General features: G+C 41.4%; 1 protein-coding gene across 4 annotated transcripts in view; it reads left to right on the plus strand.

Annotated features, from left to right (window-relative positions):
- CLVS1 (clavesin 1) overlaps window positions 1–18,443 on the plus strand; it is a 536,782-nt gene that overhangs the window by 366,127 nt on the left and 152,212 nt on the right. The window lies entirely within an intron of this gene.

Consider the following 18,443-nt stretch of genomic DNA (forward strand, 5'->3'; position numbering starts at 1 on the left):
AAGAGGTTGAAGTGGGAGGATCACTTGGGCCCAGGAGTTAGAGGCTGCAGTGAGATATAATTATGCCACTGCACTCCAGCCAGGATCCAGAACAAGATCCTGTCTCAAAAAAAGAAAAAGAAAAACATTGTATGGTGTCCTCACACTAAGCTTGGTATCAAATTTGTAGGTTGGAAATTGCTTTTCTTCAGAATTTTGGAGGCATTTCTCATTTTTGTTAAGCTTCCAATATTGTCATTACTTCCAATGATATTTTAATCCTTGGTCCTTCACACAGAATGTGAATCTGTTTTTTTCTGGAGCCTTTCCCAGGAAACATTTCCTGGTGTTCTGTAATTCATATTGCTGTGTTTGGTCTGGGTCTTTTTTATTTACTCAGTTGAGCACTCTATGAGCCCATTCAGTCTGAAAAATCATGTTCTTTCATCCAAAGGACTTTCTTACTTTATTTCTTTGTGAAATTCCCTCCTCCATTTTCCCTGGGCTTTATTATTATTATTATTATTTTTAACTTTTGTTATTTGAATGTTTGATTTCCTGGAATTGCCTTCCCAATTAAAAAAAAAAAACTCTTTTCTTGCCAATTTTGGTTTGTCTTTTTGTTCTATCTTCAGGAGATTTCCTCAACATGATCGTCCTGTCCTTCTCTGCACTTTTCACATAGGGCATAACACTTCCTCTCTAAGTGTACTTTTTTGGCTATGGTTGTCAATAACATCCTATCCTGCTTTTCCCCCACAGATGCAGTGTCTTCTATTATATCTCTGAGGATTTTAATTATAATTCCTTTTTCTACATTTTCTCATTTCCTCCAGCTTCTTCTTCTTCTTCTCCTCCTCCTCCTCCTCTTCCTCCTCCTCCTCCTCCTCCTCCTCCTTCTTCTTCTCCTTCTTTTCCTGTAAGCTTGTTTGTTCTCCCTAGGTTGGAAAGTTTTCTCATGTGTCACTGATTCCTGGCTGACAAATCATCCCTTGGATGGGGTGCACTAAAATTCCGTGTGGAAGTTCTGTCCGCATGTGAGGGTTCTGCCAACTCTTGAGGTTCATGGTGGCATGGCAGGGCAGCACGCTAGCTTTGCATTGGAGTGCCTCCAAGTGTTAGTATCTATAGGTCTTCATCCTCTGAGAAAAGTACCCCCAATCTCTTAACTGAGGGAAAAGGTGGCTGCCAGCTTTCTGGGGGCTGAGTGAGGGAAGGGAGCAGGTGGTTTCTCAGTTTGGGATGTAGACTTTCATTTAGCTGGATTTGGCTCCTTAGCCTTGACCTTTGCTGTACTTGGCATCCTGAAGCCTCTCTTTTCCAGCACCCTCAGACAGTAGATTCTTCCTCTTCTGCTGGGTGGGATCTGGGTGTTGCGCTGCTCCTTTAAACCCTTCCATGGACTCCCCTTGTGTTAGTTGCTTGTCTCTGCCTTCAGAGGGACTCTACCTCCTGGGCATTTCTAGGAGTTTGTGGTGCAAATTGACTTGCTTTTTGCTGGCTTACTTTCTCTGGACTGTTACGACAGTGACTATTTGTCTATCAGCTTGCCAACTTCCGAAATTTGTTGATACTTCTAATCTGCTATCATCTCATATTTCTCTTTGTTCCCTAAGTTTATGCATTAAAAGATTCCTTTACTCTTATGTAAATGGAGTTTTAAATGAAGAGGAGATAAACTCACAATTTCTTTTTTAATTTTTTTGAGACAGAGTCTCTCTCTGTTGCCCAGGCTGGAGTGCAGTGGTGCGATCTTGGCTCACTGCAACCTCTGCCTCCTGGGTTCAAGCGCTTCTGCCTCAGCCTCCCGAGTGAGTAACTGGGATTACAGGCATGCACCACCATGCCCGGGTAGGTTTTTAGTAAAGACGGTGTTTCACCATATTGGCCAGGCTGGTCTTGAACTCCTGACCTCAGGTAATCCACTCGCCTTGGCCTGCCAAAGTGCTGGGATTACAGGCTTGAGCCACCGTGCCTGACCTAAACTCCCAAGCTTCATCTTCCATCTTCATGTATAAAGAGAATCTCTACCAACCTTTATTTAGTTTCGTTCATATGTTTTGTTTCCATTTTCCCATGATTCTGTTCTTGACGATGTGAGTTAGCATTTAAAATGGCTATATGAATTATCTTTAATGCCATCAAAGTTTTTTCCACTTCTTTTCATATGCATTTACTGATTTTGTTTTTATTACATTGCTTAGGAAGCAAAAACGTTCAAAAATATCCTTTCAGTTAGGGTAAGAATAAGCAAAACTATGGAGAAATTTGAAAGTTTAATAAAGTTTTTACATACCCAGTGGCAAATAGGTAAACACCATAGTAAGAAGTACCTACAACCAGAAAACTCCTTTACGTATCAAAGCTCAGTCAGTGAATTGTGACAGTTGTTAAATCTTTACAGGCCACAGATCTTTATAGGGTCCTATAAAGATTTCAAGAATAGTAGAGGATGTGACTAGTATAAGAATAACTGCAGCCTGCAGGAAAAATAAAACAGAAAGAAAAGTCTGGGAAATTAGAAACATTGAGTTTCAAAAATGACAAAACTAAGCAGTTTCAAATTTGTACCAAGTGCTTATTACTATGTGAGAATAAATATACTGTCAACTAAAAACCAATCTGGATTAGTAAGGAGAGACCATTCAAAAGGATTAGAGCAAGTAGAGGACAGGAAATGTCGCAATGGGGAGAACTCTGGGAACACAAGATCTGTAAACTCTCAAGGATTAGGCAAAAAGGGTTTGCTTTTATTTTTAACTTTTATTTTAAGTTCAGGGCTACGTGTGTAGGTTTGTTTCCTAGGTAAACTTGTGTCATGGGGGTGTCAGGTTATTTCATCACCCAGGTATTAAGCCTAGTATCCATTTGTTATTTTTTTTTGATCCTCTCCCTCCTCCCAACCTCCACCCTCCAATAGACCCCAGTGTGTGCTGTTCTCCTCCATGTGTCCATGTGTTCTCAGCATTTAGCTCCCATGTAGAAGTGAGAACATGTGGTATTTGGTTTTCTGTTTGTGTTAGTTTGCTGGGGATAATGGCCTCCAGCTCCATCCATGTCCCTGCAAAAGACATGATCTTGTTCTTTTTATGTCTGTGTAGTATTCCATAGTGTATATGTACCACATTTTCTTTATGCAGTCTATCACTGATGGACATTTAGGTTGATTTAGATTTTCTTATAGGGAGGAATCAATGAGATTAGAAGAACCGGGTGTGAGAAGTGGGATGAGAGAGAGGCATGATTGGATAGTAGCTCTGATGCCAGCCAGCGGCTGAGTAGGGGCCTAAGTTCAGGGGCCAGGAGGAAGGAGACACTCTTAAACAAATTTGGTTAACAAGCATTTCATTCTGACTGATCAGTGGGTATTGATCAGTGGGGACGAGAAGTTTAGCTAACCATTTATAAGGCAAAGAATGGAAATTTGGAGGGTCTGTGTCTGGTCTTGTCCTAGACAAGCAAGAGGGCCTCTGTGTCTTCTCTAAGTCCTATGGGAAGAGCGATTCTTTGCAGTCAGCTGGTTCTTGGAACACAAAGGGCAAGGGATTTCTCCGCCTTTGCTGTTTTCAGGATCATAGGAATCAGGTAAATTTAACACTGTCCATATGAGTAAGCAAGACAGCTATTCCAGGAAAGCAAAGAGGCTAACATGAGAGAAAACTAGTGAAGTATTTCCCTACAATGTAGTAAGTGGTGGGACAAATAAATATATAGGTTGCCATGGTGATACAGAGGAGAGGCACTTTCCACTGAGGGGAGGGGTGGGCAGCTGAGCTGGGTCTTAATGGATGGCTGGGATCTGTCCAGGTGGGAACACACCATTTGGGCCAAACTGTAACTGCCCAAGGGGTTCACCTTGCCAGCTGCCTAGACAGAGCCGATTCATCAAGACAGGGGAATTGCAATAGAGAAAGAGTAATTCACGCAGAGCTGGCTGTGCAGGAGACCAGAGTTTTATTATTACTCAAATCAGTCTCTCTGAGCATTTGGGAGGGGAGCACAGGTTTTAAGGATAATTTGGTAGGTAGGGGGAAACCAGTGAGCCAGGAGTGCCGATTGGTCAGAGATGAAATCATAGGGAGTTGGAGCAGTCTTCTTGCGCTGAGTCAGTTCCTGGGTTGGGGGCCAAGATCAAGTGAGCCAGTTTATTGATCTGGATGATGCCAGCTGATCCATCAAGTGCAGAGTCTGCAAAATATTGGAAGCACTGATTTTAGAAGTAGTTTAGGGAGAGTCAGAATCTGTAGCCTCCAGCTGCATGACTCCCAAACCATAATTTCTAATCTTGTGGTGAATGTTAGTTCTACAAAGGCAATCTAGTCCTCGACAAGAAGGAGGACTGCTTTGGGAAAGGACTTTTACCTTCTTTGTTTAAAGTATAAACTAAGTTTCTCCCAAAGTTAGTTCAGCCTCTACCCAGGAATGAACAAGGACAGCTTGGAGGTTAGAAGCAAGATGGAGTCGGTTAAGTTAGATCTCTTTCACTGTCTGTCATAATTTTGCAAAGGCAGTTTCAAAACCAGAAAATATCACCGAAGATCATCAAAACCAAGGTGCTCTGTAAGCATTGTGTACCCAAGCTTATGCACAAGTGGATGAGGGAGAAACAGCCTTTTCTGATGAGAGATTTTCCTCCTTAGGGCTGTTGTGACAATTTTCTTCAGAGTAGGAGTCTATTTGTAAACATCTAGTAAAAATCTAGATGACATATAAGAATTTATCTACAGTGTATTTTCCAATTTAAGGTATATATTGTCTTCTAGCATCAAAAAGTGTCAAACTCCTGCTTTATTCTTTTTCAGAAGCAGACCACTGCAAAACCAATTTTTTTTCTTGCACTGCAAACAGAGTATAAAAGCTAGGGGAGCAGATATCAAAGCATCCCAGATGGGGCACGTGTTCCCTGCACTTTGTGTTTAGGCCTGAGTTCCTTGCTGGAGGAAAACCTACTTGTTCATCAGAATTTAATCAGCAGTGACATAAAATATGCTGGGTGAGGGACACTTTTGGAGGCTCACAGGTTGGGAGACAAGAGTCAGGGAATAGAGGAATGGCTGCCTGAGGGTAAAGGCACAGACTCTCAGCGAATAGAATTCGCTGAGAAAAGCAAGAGGACGGGTCTCTGCTGAACCCTCATTCCCACTCTACGCTGCTAACCTGGGTTGGGAAACTGCAGGACCCACAGCAACCCCTAGGAGTTGCTATGACGCCATTCAAATTTCCTTCAGGATACAGTCTCACCATATATCCTCCTTGAGAACATGCAGGATTTAACCTAATTTGAGATTCACATTTCCTTCTCAGGAGTAATGGGGGTCTGCTTTGTTATTTCTTGATCACTGTGACTTTTATTTTAACTTCTAAAACGCTATAGCACTTGTAACAAGAGGGAAGCAAATGTCTTCTTCCAAATATAGAGGATAGTAAAACACAACATGTCCTAAATGCAGAGCCAGACTGCAGCCTGGCAGTGTTTCAGTGGCTTCGAGTTTGGCATCATGCTTCTTCCTGCACAAAGGGTCCTCACCACCAGAGAAACCTCTGCCCGGCACCCTGGGTGGTACAATAGAAGTGAGCAGAACCCTCCCTGGTACTGGGAGGCACCTCTTATGGGATCCACAGAGGTCTCTGTGAGAGAAAACATGTGCATAAAAGGAGGAAAGAGGCCAAAGCAGAAAGAGGAGACTTACAGAAGCTAGTCAACAACAACAATAACAATAATAATCCAACAGAATGGGAAAGAAAAGGAGCCAAATACCTTAAAAATAAAGAATAGCCTAGAAAAAAGCAAGGTAAAGATAGAAAAAGCCTGTGCATGTGAAAATACATAAAGTTTGACTAAGGTAGGTGGTGCAAATATAGGTATCTAAGAAAGGGCAAAAAATGAGTGTCATCTGCCAGTAATAAATAAACAGGAAAAAATAAAACAAACAAACAAAAAAATAAAACCTCTTCTGTATCCAAAACTACAGAGGGAATAGGTTATGGCAAAAAGAGCCAATTGGGAAACATAAGGTAAATTCAGTACTGGTTTTTGTGGGAAATTCATTGTTCCAGGGTAAAAATTTTGGGGCTTTCTCAGCTTTCATTTCTCAGACTGAATGCTTGACTACGGTAACTGACAAAGATGATCAATTGCATCACCCAGATTTCCACGTTGACTACAAGATCAGGGAAACCAAGCTCCTACTCTCTGTCTACACCAATCCTTTTTTAGACCAAAGTAGTAAACACTTTTAAGGGCAGGTTCGGCCCTACCTATGTTTTAGGGCAGTCCCAAGCAAGTCTGCTGATATTTCACGTATCTTGTGCCACAAGTGGGTGAGTTATGAAATAATTTCCCTGTGAGGTAGTTCCAAGGGCCTTGTTTTTGCCCTCTTAGCCTCCGGTTTCTCTGTATACTTTCAGTTCATATTTACCCTATAATTGCCCGATGAACTTGGAGCCTAGTTCTTGGTTCCTGGTTCCTGGCTAAGGCTCTCCCACTGCCCAGCACTGGACAGTCCCTCTCCCTGACTTGCGCAGCAGCTGAATGGCTTGCTTTAGAGTGACTGCCCCTCCAGGATTTCCGCCCTTCCAAAAGCACAACCGAGACACCTGCCGAGTTTGAGAGATTTCCTCTGCTGTGTTCTGCCTTCCAGATCGGCCCCACCAGATCCAACCAATTGCAATTTGTGATGTGGGCTGTTTATGTGTCTTCCCATACAACCATTTAATCTGCAAAACAAATGTGTGAGGGTGGCTATCGTGATTTTTATTTTCAAAAGGAGGAAACTGAACACCAGAATCATGAAGTAATTCACCCAAGGTCAAACAGCTAAGGGAGTGTGGCAGGGCGGGGGTCTAGATTCTGATTTGGGTGACATCAGGAACTGACTTGTTCTACCACATCATGCAGAGGACTAGAAAACATCTTCTTTATAGATCTCATTCTAAAATGACAATAAAGAAAACAAAGATTACAGAAAGTGGTTTGCCTAAGACTATACAAATGGTTAGTGGAAAAACTGACTTTTAAATGATCTCCTCACTTCCACATGATCTCCTCGCTTCCAGACAGGTAACCTGCAGAATACCTTGAGACTTGGCACCCTGATATGGAGCAGTTTCAACAATGTTCAGTCTTTATGTCCTCAGGAAAAGGTCTGGACCCTCAATGTCACACTTGGAGCCCAGCGCGATCCATCTTCTCTCACTTTATTTTGTGTCCCTACAATGCCAGACACAGAGCCTCCATTTCTGCAAATATTTCAGTTAAACTGAATTGTTATAGGTTTGAGCAATTTTTTAAAACTCTATGCTTCTTTATTTCAGAATAGGAAAATGGAAAAAAAAAGAGGCTGTCATTTGCCACGCATTTACCATTTCAGATATTGTAATAGGCACTTTTAAATTGACCAGTAATCTCCTAAACTTAAATGTAGACCACAGTTACCTGAAAACCTCCTTAAAACCAAACATTTCTGGGCCTCACCCCCAGAGTTTCTGACTCCGTAGGCACAGGGTGGAGTCTGAGAACCTGCATTTCTAATAAATTCCCAGGTGATGCTAACGCTGCCATGATCAGGAGACCACACTTTAAGGCTCACTAGCACAGGCAATAGTCTGTACTTACGCAATAAGGGTATCAGGATCGCAGCACACATTTTTGGGTTCCAAAACCATATGCTCATTCCAAAAATCATGCTCCTCCATATGCAGCAGATTCTCAAAGGAGCAGCTGGCCCGGTGTCTCTCTCCTTTCTGGTGTGGGAGCCACACACAGTTCTCCCACACTGAGGTCAGGGCTGACAAACACGCCGAGGGACCCCCCAACCTTCCCCTGCCCCCTGGCTCTGGCTCAGCTGTCACACCTCTGCCCCGGGGAGGCTCTTCCTCTCAGCCTCTGCCCCAGGGAGGTCCTTCCTTGCTTGCAGGGGAGCTCAGGCCCAGTGGCAACGCATGGACTAATTTACAGCCCCTCCCTTCCTGGCTCTCTCAGGTCAGTAGGCTTGGCCACCAAAGGGAACACTGTGTGTGTGTGTGTGTGTGTGTGTGTGTATGCATGTGAGTGTGTGCCTGTGTGTGTGTGTGTGTGCTTCTTTTGAGGAGGCTGAGGATGCTTTGAGGTTGGAGAGGGGAAGATGGGAGATGACTCATAAAGACTGGTGGGCCAGGGCACTATGCCTGCAGCCTCTGGTAGTGTCAGGGGAGGCCAGCATGAGCTGCTATTGTGGGGGTCCTCTGCCCTTCCCTCATCCTCTGTAAGAGGAAACAGGAGAAGCATGGTGGTCGAGTGAGAACACATATCCGACCCCTTGCCTGCCCCGTCCCATCCCCCATTCCCCAGCAATCCCAGTCCCTTGCATGGTGGGCAGGGCCACATGGACAGAGCCTCAAGGCAGAGGTCTAGGAGTCAGGTTTTAATACGCTTGGAATTTTGCTTAAGGTGGGAGAGATCTTTATATTCAAGCAATTAAGAACCAAGTGGAGCTTGACTACCTATGGGCATTTAGCAGCTGTGAGAGGCATGCAAGTGGCCCAGCCCAGAGCTGGGCCTGTGAGCTGTCCTGTGTCTTTGAAGGTCACCCATGTCCCTTATGGGGCACTGACAGAACCAATTACTCACCTGTGCCCAAGGGGACCCCTGGACATAATTGAGAGGTACTCTACCAAATTGAAATGTTTGGCCTATATCTCATCAGCAAGCAGGTATGCAGGAGAGTAACCCTCAGGCAAGCTGATGACCTGAGAGAAGGAAAGAGAGGGAGAGAGAGAAAGAGAGAAAGAGGGAAGGAGGGAGAGAGAAAGAGAGAAGGAGGGAGGGAGAAAGAGAGGGAAGGAAAGAAAACAAGAAAGAGAAAAAAGAGAGGAAGGAAAGGAGGGAAAGAAAGAGCGAGAAAGGAAGGAAGGAAGAAAAAGAAATAGAAAAAAGAAATAGAGAAAGAGAAGGAGGGAGGGAGAAAGGGAGGGAGGGAAAGAAAGAGAGTGAAAGAAAGATAAAAGAAAGAGAGGGGTAAAGGGAGTGAGAGAAAGAAAGAGAAAGAAAGTGAAAAAGAGAAAATGAAAGAAAGGAAGAAAAAGAAAGAAAGGAAAAGAAAGAAAAAAGGAAGGAAAGAAAAAAGAAAAAGAAAGAAAGAAAAAGAAAGGAAAGAAAGAAAAAGAAAGAAAAGAAAGAAAGAGAGAAAGGGAAAGAACCCTGCATTGCCAGAAAGTTAGGAGAGGAGAAAGTTAACATAAACATTACCTCGCACATGTAGTTTTTATGGTGAGAACTCTTAAAATCTACTTTCTTGGCAATTTTCAAGTATACAATACATTGTTACTAACTATAGTCACCATGATGCACAATAGATCTCTTGAACTTATTCATCCTGCCTAACTGAAATTTTGTGTCCTTTGACCAACATCTCCCCAGTCCTCCAGCCCCTGGTAGCTGCCCTTCTACTGTCTACTTCTGTGAGTTCCACCTCTTTAGGTTTCACATATGAGTGAGATCATGCGGCATTTGTCTTTCTGTGTCTGCTTATTTCACTTAATACAATGTCTTCCAGGTTCATCTATGATGTTGCATATGACAGGATTTCCTTCTTTTTAAGGCTGAATAGTATTCATATATATATATATACCACATTTAAAAAATTCATTCATCCATTGATGGACGCAAGTTGATTCCATGTCTTGGCTATTGTGAATAATGCTGCAATGAACACAGAATGCAGATACCATTTCAACATACTGACTGCATGTCTTTGGCTATATGCCCAGTAGTAGGATGGCTGGGTCATGTGGTAGTTCTATTTTTAATTTTTTTGAGGACCCTCCATATTGTTTTCCATGATGGCTGTACCAGTGTTAGATACATTTCTAATTGGAATGAATTTCAATATTATATTGTTTGAAAGCAAAAGGAAATTTTGGTTCTGATTAATTCCTCTCTCTTTTTAATTGGTTCAATAATTTTTAAACCCTGGGGTGGGTGGAATGTTTTCAGATTGGCAGTTTTGGGAATGTGAAGACAATTTGTATTTCCTGGTTTTTGCTTTGTTTTGTTTTATAACTCAGTAGCCATGCTGTCAGCTCAGTGCAAACATCACAGGCAGGATGCAAGCACTGAAGATAATAGCTTTCTCTTAAAAGTATTGTCGATAAAAACATACCTTTAATGCACTGAAAAGAATAAATTATGCCTCGTAGGGAAACAATAGAAAATATCTCCTTTTTGGCTTCGTGATCATTTCAGTGTTTGTCATTTCCAGCCACCACAACAAAATGAATCCTGTTTCACATGTTGGTAAGTCCGTCATTCTGTCTGGAGGGAACTGGGTCTGAAAATTGCACTGGGACTGAAATTGGACGGCAGCATGAAGCTGTTAAAGATAATAGACCTGTGTTAAAACCCACAAATGAATGGAGGCATTCTCTGGCCTGCAGAAGAGCGCTCATTGTCCTCTGCGGTCCATTTTCCACACGTACAATGTGTTCACAGCTGGCTGTTCTTTCTCTTTTGGGGACACTTGTGAATATGCATGTCCCAAATCATAGGCACAGCTTAAGGGCCAGGAACTCACGTCCATGTCCACTTCCTCAAACATCAGAGAACCCTAATCAGCTTGACACCCACCATCCGGTTTCTTCATTCTGGTGGGCCCTGTCTTCCTGGGAATGCACACCTCCGTGAACGGCAATCCAAGCTGATTTGTTTTGAGCAGTCACTAAGATGGACATTTCCCCTGGGGTTGAGGATTTTGTTTCAGACAAAAAAGATACATGTAGGAGACAGTCTCACAGTATTTTCTATCTTTTAAAGGTGGAGGTGAAAGCCAGGGTTGTACTAACAGATTGGGATAGAGCCACTGGAATCTAACTGATGGCTTTTAAGGGAATTTTGCAAGGCTGAAGGTGTGAATACCCCTGAATAAAAACAGCTGCTGTCTTCATTTTGAATGGATGCTGAAATCACTGCCATTTCCTCCAGGGGCTTTTAGTGCTGTGCATTTTAAGAGTGGCGGGTTCAAAAAGTCATGAAAATGTGTTACTTGGCTTTCCGATGGAAAGTAATAGAATTTCTGAACTTTAGCTAGCCATCTCTGAACATCACAAATTCCTGAAGGGTGTTCACAAGGAAAACACTAGGAAGTTTGCCCAAATCTCTCTGGTAGGTGCACATGTGGTAAAGCGGGTGACTCTTGCTCTTCTCTCTTCTTTGAAGTGTCCTAGTGGGGATCTGCTTTTCAAGACCCTCCTCCTGCTCAGCCTCACCCTGACTCCATTCAGCCTCCTTTAGAGGATGAGAAACATCTCCCCAACCAGAGCCGGCTTAGGCTCCTTTTAATTGCATCATTGGCCTGGTGGGAGGATAGAGAGAAAGGAGAACAAGAGTTCAGCAGAGCCCTGAAAAGGGGGGATGGTAATGGAAGGAGGACAGGACTCTGAGCTCCTCGATGGCTAAAGCAAAGAAATGGAATTCTGACACTTGTTGCCTATATCCGCTCTACACAGAGCTCCCTGAGAAGCGCTTGTCTGCCTTGCTCTCTATCTTGCGCGCCATTCCGCTTTTCGCACTATGTGTCCTTGGTTTTCTTCTTGATCTCCCAGTGGTGAGCTTGAAAGTAGCAGCTGTTCTCTCCGTGCTTGTGCTGGGCCTGCATCTGGCACAGCCATTGGCATACGGAATCCAGTTAACCTTTGGCGAAAAACATGAGCGATATTTATTGCCCCTTTTCAAACCTCAATTATAACAAATTGCAATTATGTGGTGCCTCGGAAAGGCTGCCGTGCACATCACATGCAGCCATTTAGAAAAGAACTCTGGCATCCTAGAGCAGCAAATTTGGAAGGAGGACATTCTGAGGCCTTTAGGAGATCAACTGTGTGCTGGACGGACTTTTCAAGCCATAATGTAATTATAATGTGTTATAATTTAACTTTGAAAGGATAGAACAATATCCAAAAGAGGAGATGTGTTGGGCACCAAAATGATCAAAGGAAATCACAGTTGGGAGAAGAATGAAAAGTAGAGGGAGAAACATGGACACAACATTTAAAAAGTCTGAATTTTTTAAATGCCACCTGTTTTCAGGTATTAACATTGGAGTGATTTTCGTATCTCTACACTCGATGGAGACTTCACTGTTCCACTCAATTTAACAAAACAAATATGACTTCAAAGTAACTTTGGGTATATTTTATTTAGCATTAGCTGGTACAGCATGATTCTGTTAAAATACATAAAAGCACTTTCTTCCAATTGCCCAGCCCTTGCCCATTCTGATTTTCTGGTTATCTTTGGATTTATAGCAAAATGTTTGTTTTTCAAAAGATAAAAATATATGGGGATGTTTATTGGCTGAAGTTCTAGCTAAGTATTAGAATGCAAATTTTATTATGGTTGTAGGTGGCTAGTGGTGAGGTAGATCCACCTTTAGAACAAGTCTAAAGAATATAGATGAAATAATAGTATGTTGAAAGATCAGTCATTTAAAAACCAGTGGGACGTTGTTGCAATGGTCTGTGACAGTATGATTCAGTTACTGCTGAGAGTTCCCAGGAATTTTCAGGATGGCATCTCCAGAGCTAAAGACAATGTACTTGTACTACATAATTTGGTGTCATGCTCTTTTAAGCAAATCTGAGTAATGAAGAGAAGCATCCAAAAACAAAGAGGAGGATTAGAAACCTAAGACACAAAAATGTTAGCCTAAAGTCAACAGTCTGGGCAACGAGAGCTCAGGACTGGGTCTTGGAGCCAGTTGCAAAATTAATGCTGAATATCGAAGTTCTCACCACGTTCCTCTGATTCTCCAAAGTGAAATCCTCAGGGGACACCTCTTAGAGGCAAAATTTTTCATTTTGGTGATATGTTTGAGGAAATATCAATACCCCGATAACATCCTAAAAAGAAAATGCTGTATAAAATAAAACATTTCTGCTGTCATCATCCTTAATCCACTTTAAATCTTAGTGCTAGGCTAACGGTATGAAGAAAAATAAAATCTATTTTCTGTCTTAAAGGAGTTTGTTGAACATGATATACATACATACATATACACACATTCTTAATCTAAAATAGAATATGGTCCTATGCCAAAGGACCAATATGTGCAATAATAATTGCTAATATTTATTGGGCACTTAATGGTAGGCCCTGTTCTGAGTTCTCTTGAAGGCATCAATTTTTTCACAAAAATTGTATGGATTTGGCACTATCATTTCAATCATGCAGGTGAGGAACTTGAGACACAGAGAAATTAAAAAAAGAAAAAAAAGAAAGTTTGACCAAATCAGAGCTAATAAATTCATTTTACTTTTTCCATATTAGTCAGGTTGGTCTTGAACTCCTGACCTCAGGTGATCCACCCACATCAGCCTCCCAAAGTGCTGAGATTACAGCCATGAGCCACCGCACTCGGCCTAGAGCTGATAAATTCAGATCCAACATCCAGATTCCACTGTCTGGCTCTAGAGCTCCCACACATCTCAATGACTGTCGAGAGAGAACAATGCAAGATTAATACCTCTTTAATTCAGTAGGACCAGGCAGGGCAAGAGGCTTAGCTCAAAATGGCAGGGTTAGACAGCTCCAGGGAATGGAGTAATCTGGTTCTACTGGATAACCTCTCCCTCTTCCATGACTCTTTAGCAATCTGCTCAGCCCTCAATTCTGGCATGTGGCTGTATAGACTGGAGTTTGTGCAGCTGTCCCTAATCTCAGCTGTCCAAGCATGGAGCAGAGGACCCGCATATAATGGGGTACTTCATAAGTACATGAATAAATGAATATCCAACTAGGAACTGAGATCGTACTTTTTCCCTTTTTGAAGGAGCTAATTTTATTTTTTTTCTTGGTTCCCATACTTGCCTTAACTGTAGCCATGGGACTTGCTTCTTTGGTAAGTAGTAATATTAAAACCATTTTAAATTGAAGTTTTGCAGAAAGCATACTATTTGGGGACTGGCCAGAAAAAAAAAAAAGGTGTAATTCCAAAGAAAGTGGAAAAGTACCACATAGACTGGATAAAATGGAAAATTATATTTGTGTGACCTACTGTGTTACCAAAAGGCAAATGTGGATTTCGTTGGCTTGGATTTGCTCATCTGCTGCTACACCTCCTTCTCGATGCCTCTTTAGTGGCAATTTTCTAAACTATCTTTATGTTCAAGGTTTTAATAAAAACAAATCCTCTGTTAAGCTACATTTGAGAGTGCATTTCTACTGAGGAGCATTGGCCCCTGATTGCCTATCCACAAGAGCCAAGATGAGGCAAGTTCCACTTGGTTTCTCAAGGCAGTAGGCCCCATACACTTGCTACTCATTTTCCTTTATTATAATCTTTGGGACAATATTTTCCCATTATTGACAATAACTCTTATGAAAACTCCTTATAAAATCACATTTACTTTTTTATTTTCATTCTCAAAGCAAAGGCTGGGCTGACATTTTCAATATTCAAGAATCCCAATACGACAAGTGCAATGTAGTAGGACGCTCTGATAGGCTGAAGGGCATTTGGAAAGCTCACGGATGCAGAGGACACCCTTTTCTAAAAGCAGATGGGTGCTCAGGAGCAGAAGCAACAATTAAAAGTCCTGGCTGAGAAAGAAACTCCTAATTACATTTGGATGACTTGATGTTCCCTCGAATATGGTGCCTGCTCTTTTCTTTCTTCCTTGATTGGAGCCTCTAGGGGTGTGTGTGTGTGTGTATGTGTGTGTGTGTGTGTGTGTGTGTGTGTGTGTTTGGTTTGACAACATGTGTTGCTATTACTCAGTTGTTTTAGGGAAAGAATAGTCTTTGAAAAGGGAAGAGATGGGGGAAAGAAAGAGGTAGAGAAGAGGAAAGGTGACTGAACAGCTTCTATTCCTACCTGGAGAGGGCTGTAGATGGTGGCAGCAGGTGTCAGAGAAATGAGATCTTGTGGCTGGCAGGATCCCTTGGGGAGAGGCTCAGGAGAAGGCTTAGCTTGACTTGTGGGGACAGATATTTCAGGGAACTCAGCCAGCTCAAGAGTGATGCTGCTGCACCAAACCTATATGTGATTTTTAATTATTTTAATTGTTTATTCGAGAGAGTGCATTTATCTCTCTTCTGAGTTACTTTAAGAAGTATATTGGCCTAATGGACTAAAAGGTAAATCTTTGTCCATCCAGTCCCAAAAATAAATAAGTAAATAAATAAATGAACTTCCAATTTTCCTGTATTGGGCATTTCCCTGAAGAGTTATTCGCAAATGGTATAGAATGTCAGTCAGCGTTTCTTAACCCAGGGTGCCTGCGACTCACTCTAAACGATTACATCAGAATTTCAGGGGGTAAAGCAAGGGCATTAGTGTCTTAGAAAAACTCCCCAGAGGTGAAGCCAGGGCTGAGAAGCACTGCTGCAGACATTTGCACAGACTCTTCTCTTGGTCTGAAAGTCTCCTTGGTCTGAAAGAGCAAGGAGACTTCACACAGAGAAGCAGAGGTCGCAGTTGAGGAAACTAAATCGGGTGAGAAAATAACAGGGATGGGAGTCTTCTGGGGACCCTTAAAGCCTTATAGATATGTTGCGCTCGCTACAATATAATAATAAAGATTCCCAGCCAGTCCTAATGATGACCTTTTACATGTATCTAATTAAAAGGCAGCACACAATTAATTTCTGTTTGTTATCCCTTCTCACTAGGAAACCATCAATATTATCCTTCCCTGATGCCTCCTTGTAAACTAGTTTTGACTTTTTTCCCCCAGATAAAGTATTCATTTGACAAACACTGAGCCCCTCCCTGTGTAAGGCATGGTGCCAAGAGCATGGCAGATCATAGTCCTGCAATCATGGGTTTCCATCTAATGGCAGAGACAGTCACACAAATAATGTCTCATCTAACTGTGTAAGCACAAATGTGATCAATGTTCAGAGAGAACAGGGTGCCAATGAATGGAAAGCAATTGTTGCAGATCTACTCTGAGGCAGATAGTTAAGATCTCCATCTAAAAGAGCAAGGGTTGTTCTGGACCAAGAGAAAACAGCCTGTGCAGATGACTGCAAGTGGTAAAAGACATCGCATATTAAGAGAGCTTAAGAAGGGTAATGAAGCTAAAAAACAAGAGTTTGAGTAGAGAATAATCCCCCATGTTGTACAACTAACTCTAAGGAGCATGAATCACAAGAGAGGGCTTTGGCAGCACCAAGAGGGGACCCCTAGTTGCCTGAGATGAAGGCACAGACATGCTGAGCCTTGTAGGTCATCCTAAGAAATAGCAGTAGCAGGCCATGGAGGCTTTCAGCCAAGGAGCATCTCAGCAGTTTTGTCTCTGAAGAAATTCTCTCTGCTTGTCAGACTGCAAGGAGTGGAGGATTGCAAACCTGAATTCAGGAGAGACCAGTCCTGACGCTACTTCCTGCAGAGATGAAGATGACTGAATTAGAGAGGTGATGGTGGAAACGAGACCTGACACATTGAAAGCTGTCACTGCACAATCTCACTTACCTGTGAATTCTAAGAAATTGTACTCAAAGGAGCAGAGAGTAGAGTGATGGTTACCAGGGGTTGGCATGTGGGGGGCTGGGGATATTAATATATGTTGGTCAAAGGATATAGAATTTCAGCTAGATAAAAGGGATAAATTCAAGATTATCTGTTATACAACATGTTGTACATGTTTGTTAGATGTTTATACATGTTTATTTTATTAGCTCAATTTGGCCATTCCATTATATATATATATATATATATATATATATATATATATATATATATATATATATATATCCTGAAGTATACATTGTGGAATAGCCAAATTGAGCTAATTAACATGGGACTTGGTAGTGCAAGTATTTCTTTGACATACTGATTTCATATCCTTTGGCTATATACTCAGAGGTGGGATTGCTGAATCATATGATAGTTCTATTTTTAATTTTTTAAGGACCCTACCTACTGTTTTCCATAATGGCTGTACCAATTTACATTCCCACCAGCAATGTACAAGGGTTCCCTTTTCTCCATATTCTTTCCATTAACATATGCATTGCCTCACCTACTTGTCTTTTTGTGATTAGAACACAAAATCGACTCTCAGCGATTTTCAATGTACAATACATTGTTATTAACTATAGTCAGCATGTTGTATAATAGACTCCTGACTTTATTATTCCTATGAAACTGAAAATTTGAATCCTTTAACCAACATCTCCCCAAACGCAACCATTGTCCCCAAATCCCTGGTTTCCACTATATTACTCTCTGCTTCCATGAGTTTGGCTTTTTTATGTTCTACATATATGTGATATCATGCAATATTTGTCTTTCTGTGTCTGCTTATTTAACTTAGCAAAATGTTCTCAATCATAGGTGGGAATTGAACAATGAGAACACTTGGACACAGGAAGGGGAACATCACACACTGGGGCCTGTCATGGAGTGGGGGGAGGGGGGAGGGATAGCATTAGGAGATATACCTAATGTAAATGATGAGTTAATGGGTGCAGCACACCAACATGGCACATGTATACATATGTAACAAACCTGCACGTTGTGCACATGTACCCTAGAACTTAAAGTATAATAAAAAATAATAATAATAATAACTTATCATAACGTCCTTCAGGTTCATTCATATTGTTGCAAATGACAGGATTTCCTACTTTTTATGGCTGAATAGTATTTCCTTGTGTAGATATGCCTCATTTTCTTTATCAGTTTATCTACTGATGGACATTTAGGTTGATTTCATATTTTGGCTATTGCGAATATTGCCTCAGTGAACGTGGGAGTGCAGGTATCTCTTCGACATACTGATTTCATGTCCTTTGACTATATACCCAGAGATGGGATTGCTGGATCATGTGGTAGTTCCATTTTTAACTTTTTGAGGAACTTTTGTACTGTTTTTCATAATGGTTGTACTAATGTACATTCTCACCAACAGTATACAAGTGTTCCCTTTTCTCCATATCCTTGCTAACACTTGTCATTTTTCATATTTTTGATAATACTTGTCCTAGAAGGTATGAAGTAATATTACATTGTGGTTTTAATTTTTATTTCCCTGATGATTAGTGATGTTGAGCACCTTTTCATGTATCTGTCGGCCATTTGTATGTCTCCTTTTGAGAAATGTTTATTCAGGTCCTTTGCCCATTTAATTGGGTTGTTTTCTTGCTATTAAGTTGTTTGAGTTCCTTATATATTTTGGATTTTCACCCTTTGTTAGATGTATGGTTTGCAAGTATTTTCTCCCATTCTGTAAGTTGTCTTTTCACTCTGTTCATTGTCTCCTTGGCTGTGCAGAAGCTTTTTAGTTTGAGATAATAGCACTTGTCTTTTTCCCTTTTCTTGCTTGTGCTTTTGGAATTTCATTAAAAAAATTATTGCCCAGACTCATTTCATGGAGCTTTTCCCCTATAATTTGTAGTTGTCAATTAAAAAATAATAATTTTTCAAAAGAAAAAAATGAAAAGCTATCAGGATATAAAACCAACAGAGTTGGGCCACTGATTGGAT

This window comes from Homo sapiens, chromosome 8 (assembly GCF_000001405.40).
Source record: "Homo sapiens chromosome 8, GRCh38.p14 Primary Assembly".
Classification (NCBI taxonomy): Eukaryota; Metazoa; Chordata; class Mammalia; order Primates; family Hominidae; genus Homo; species Homo sapiens.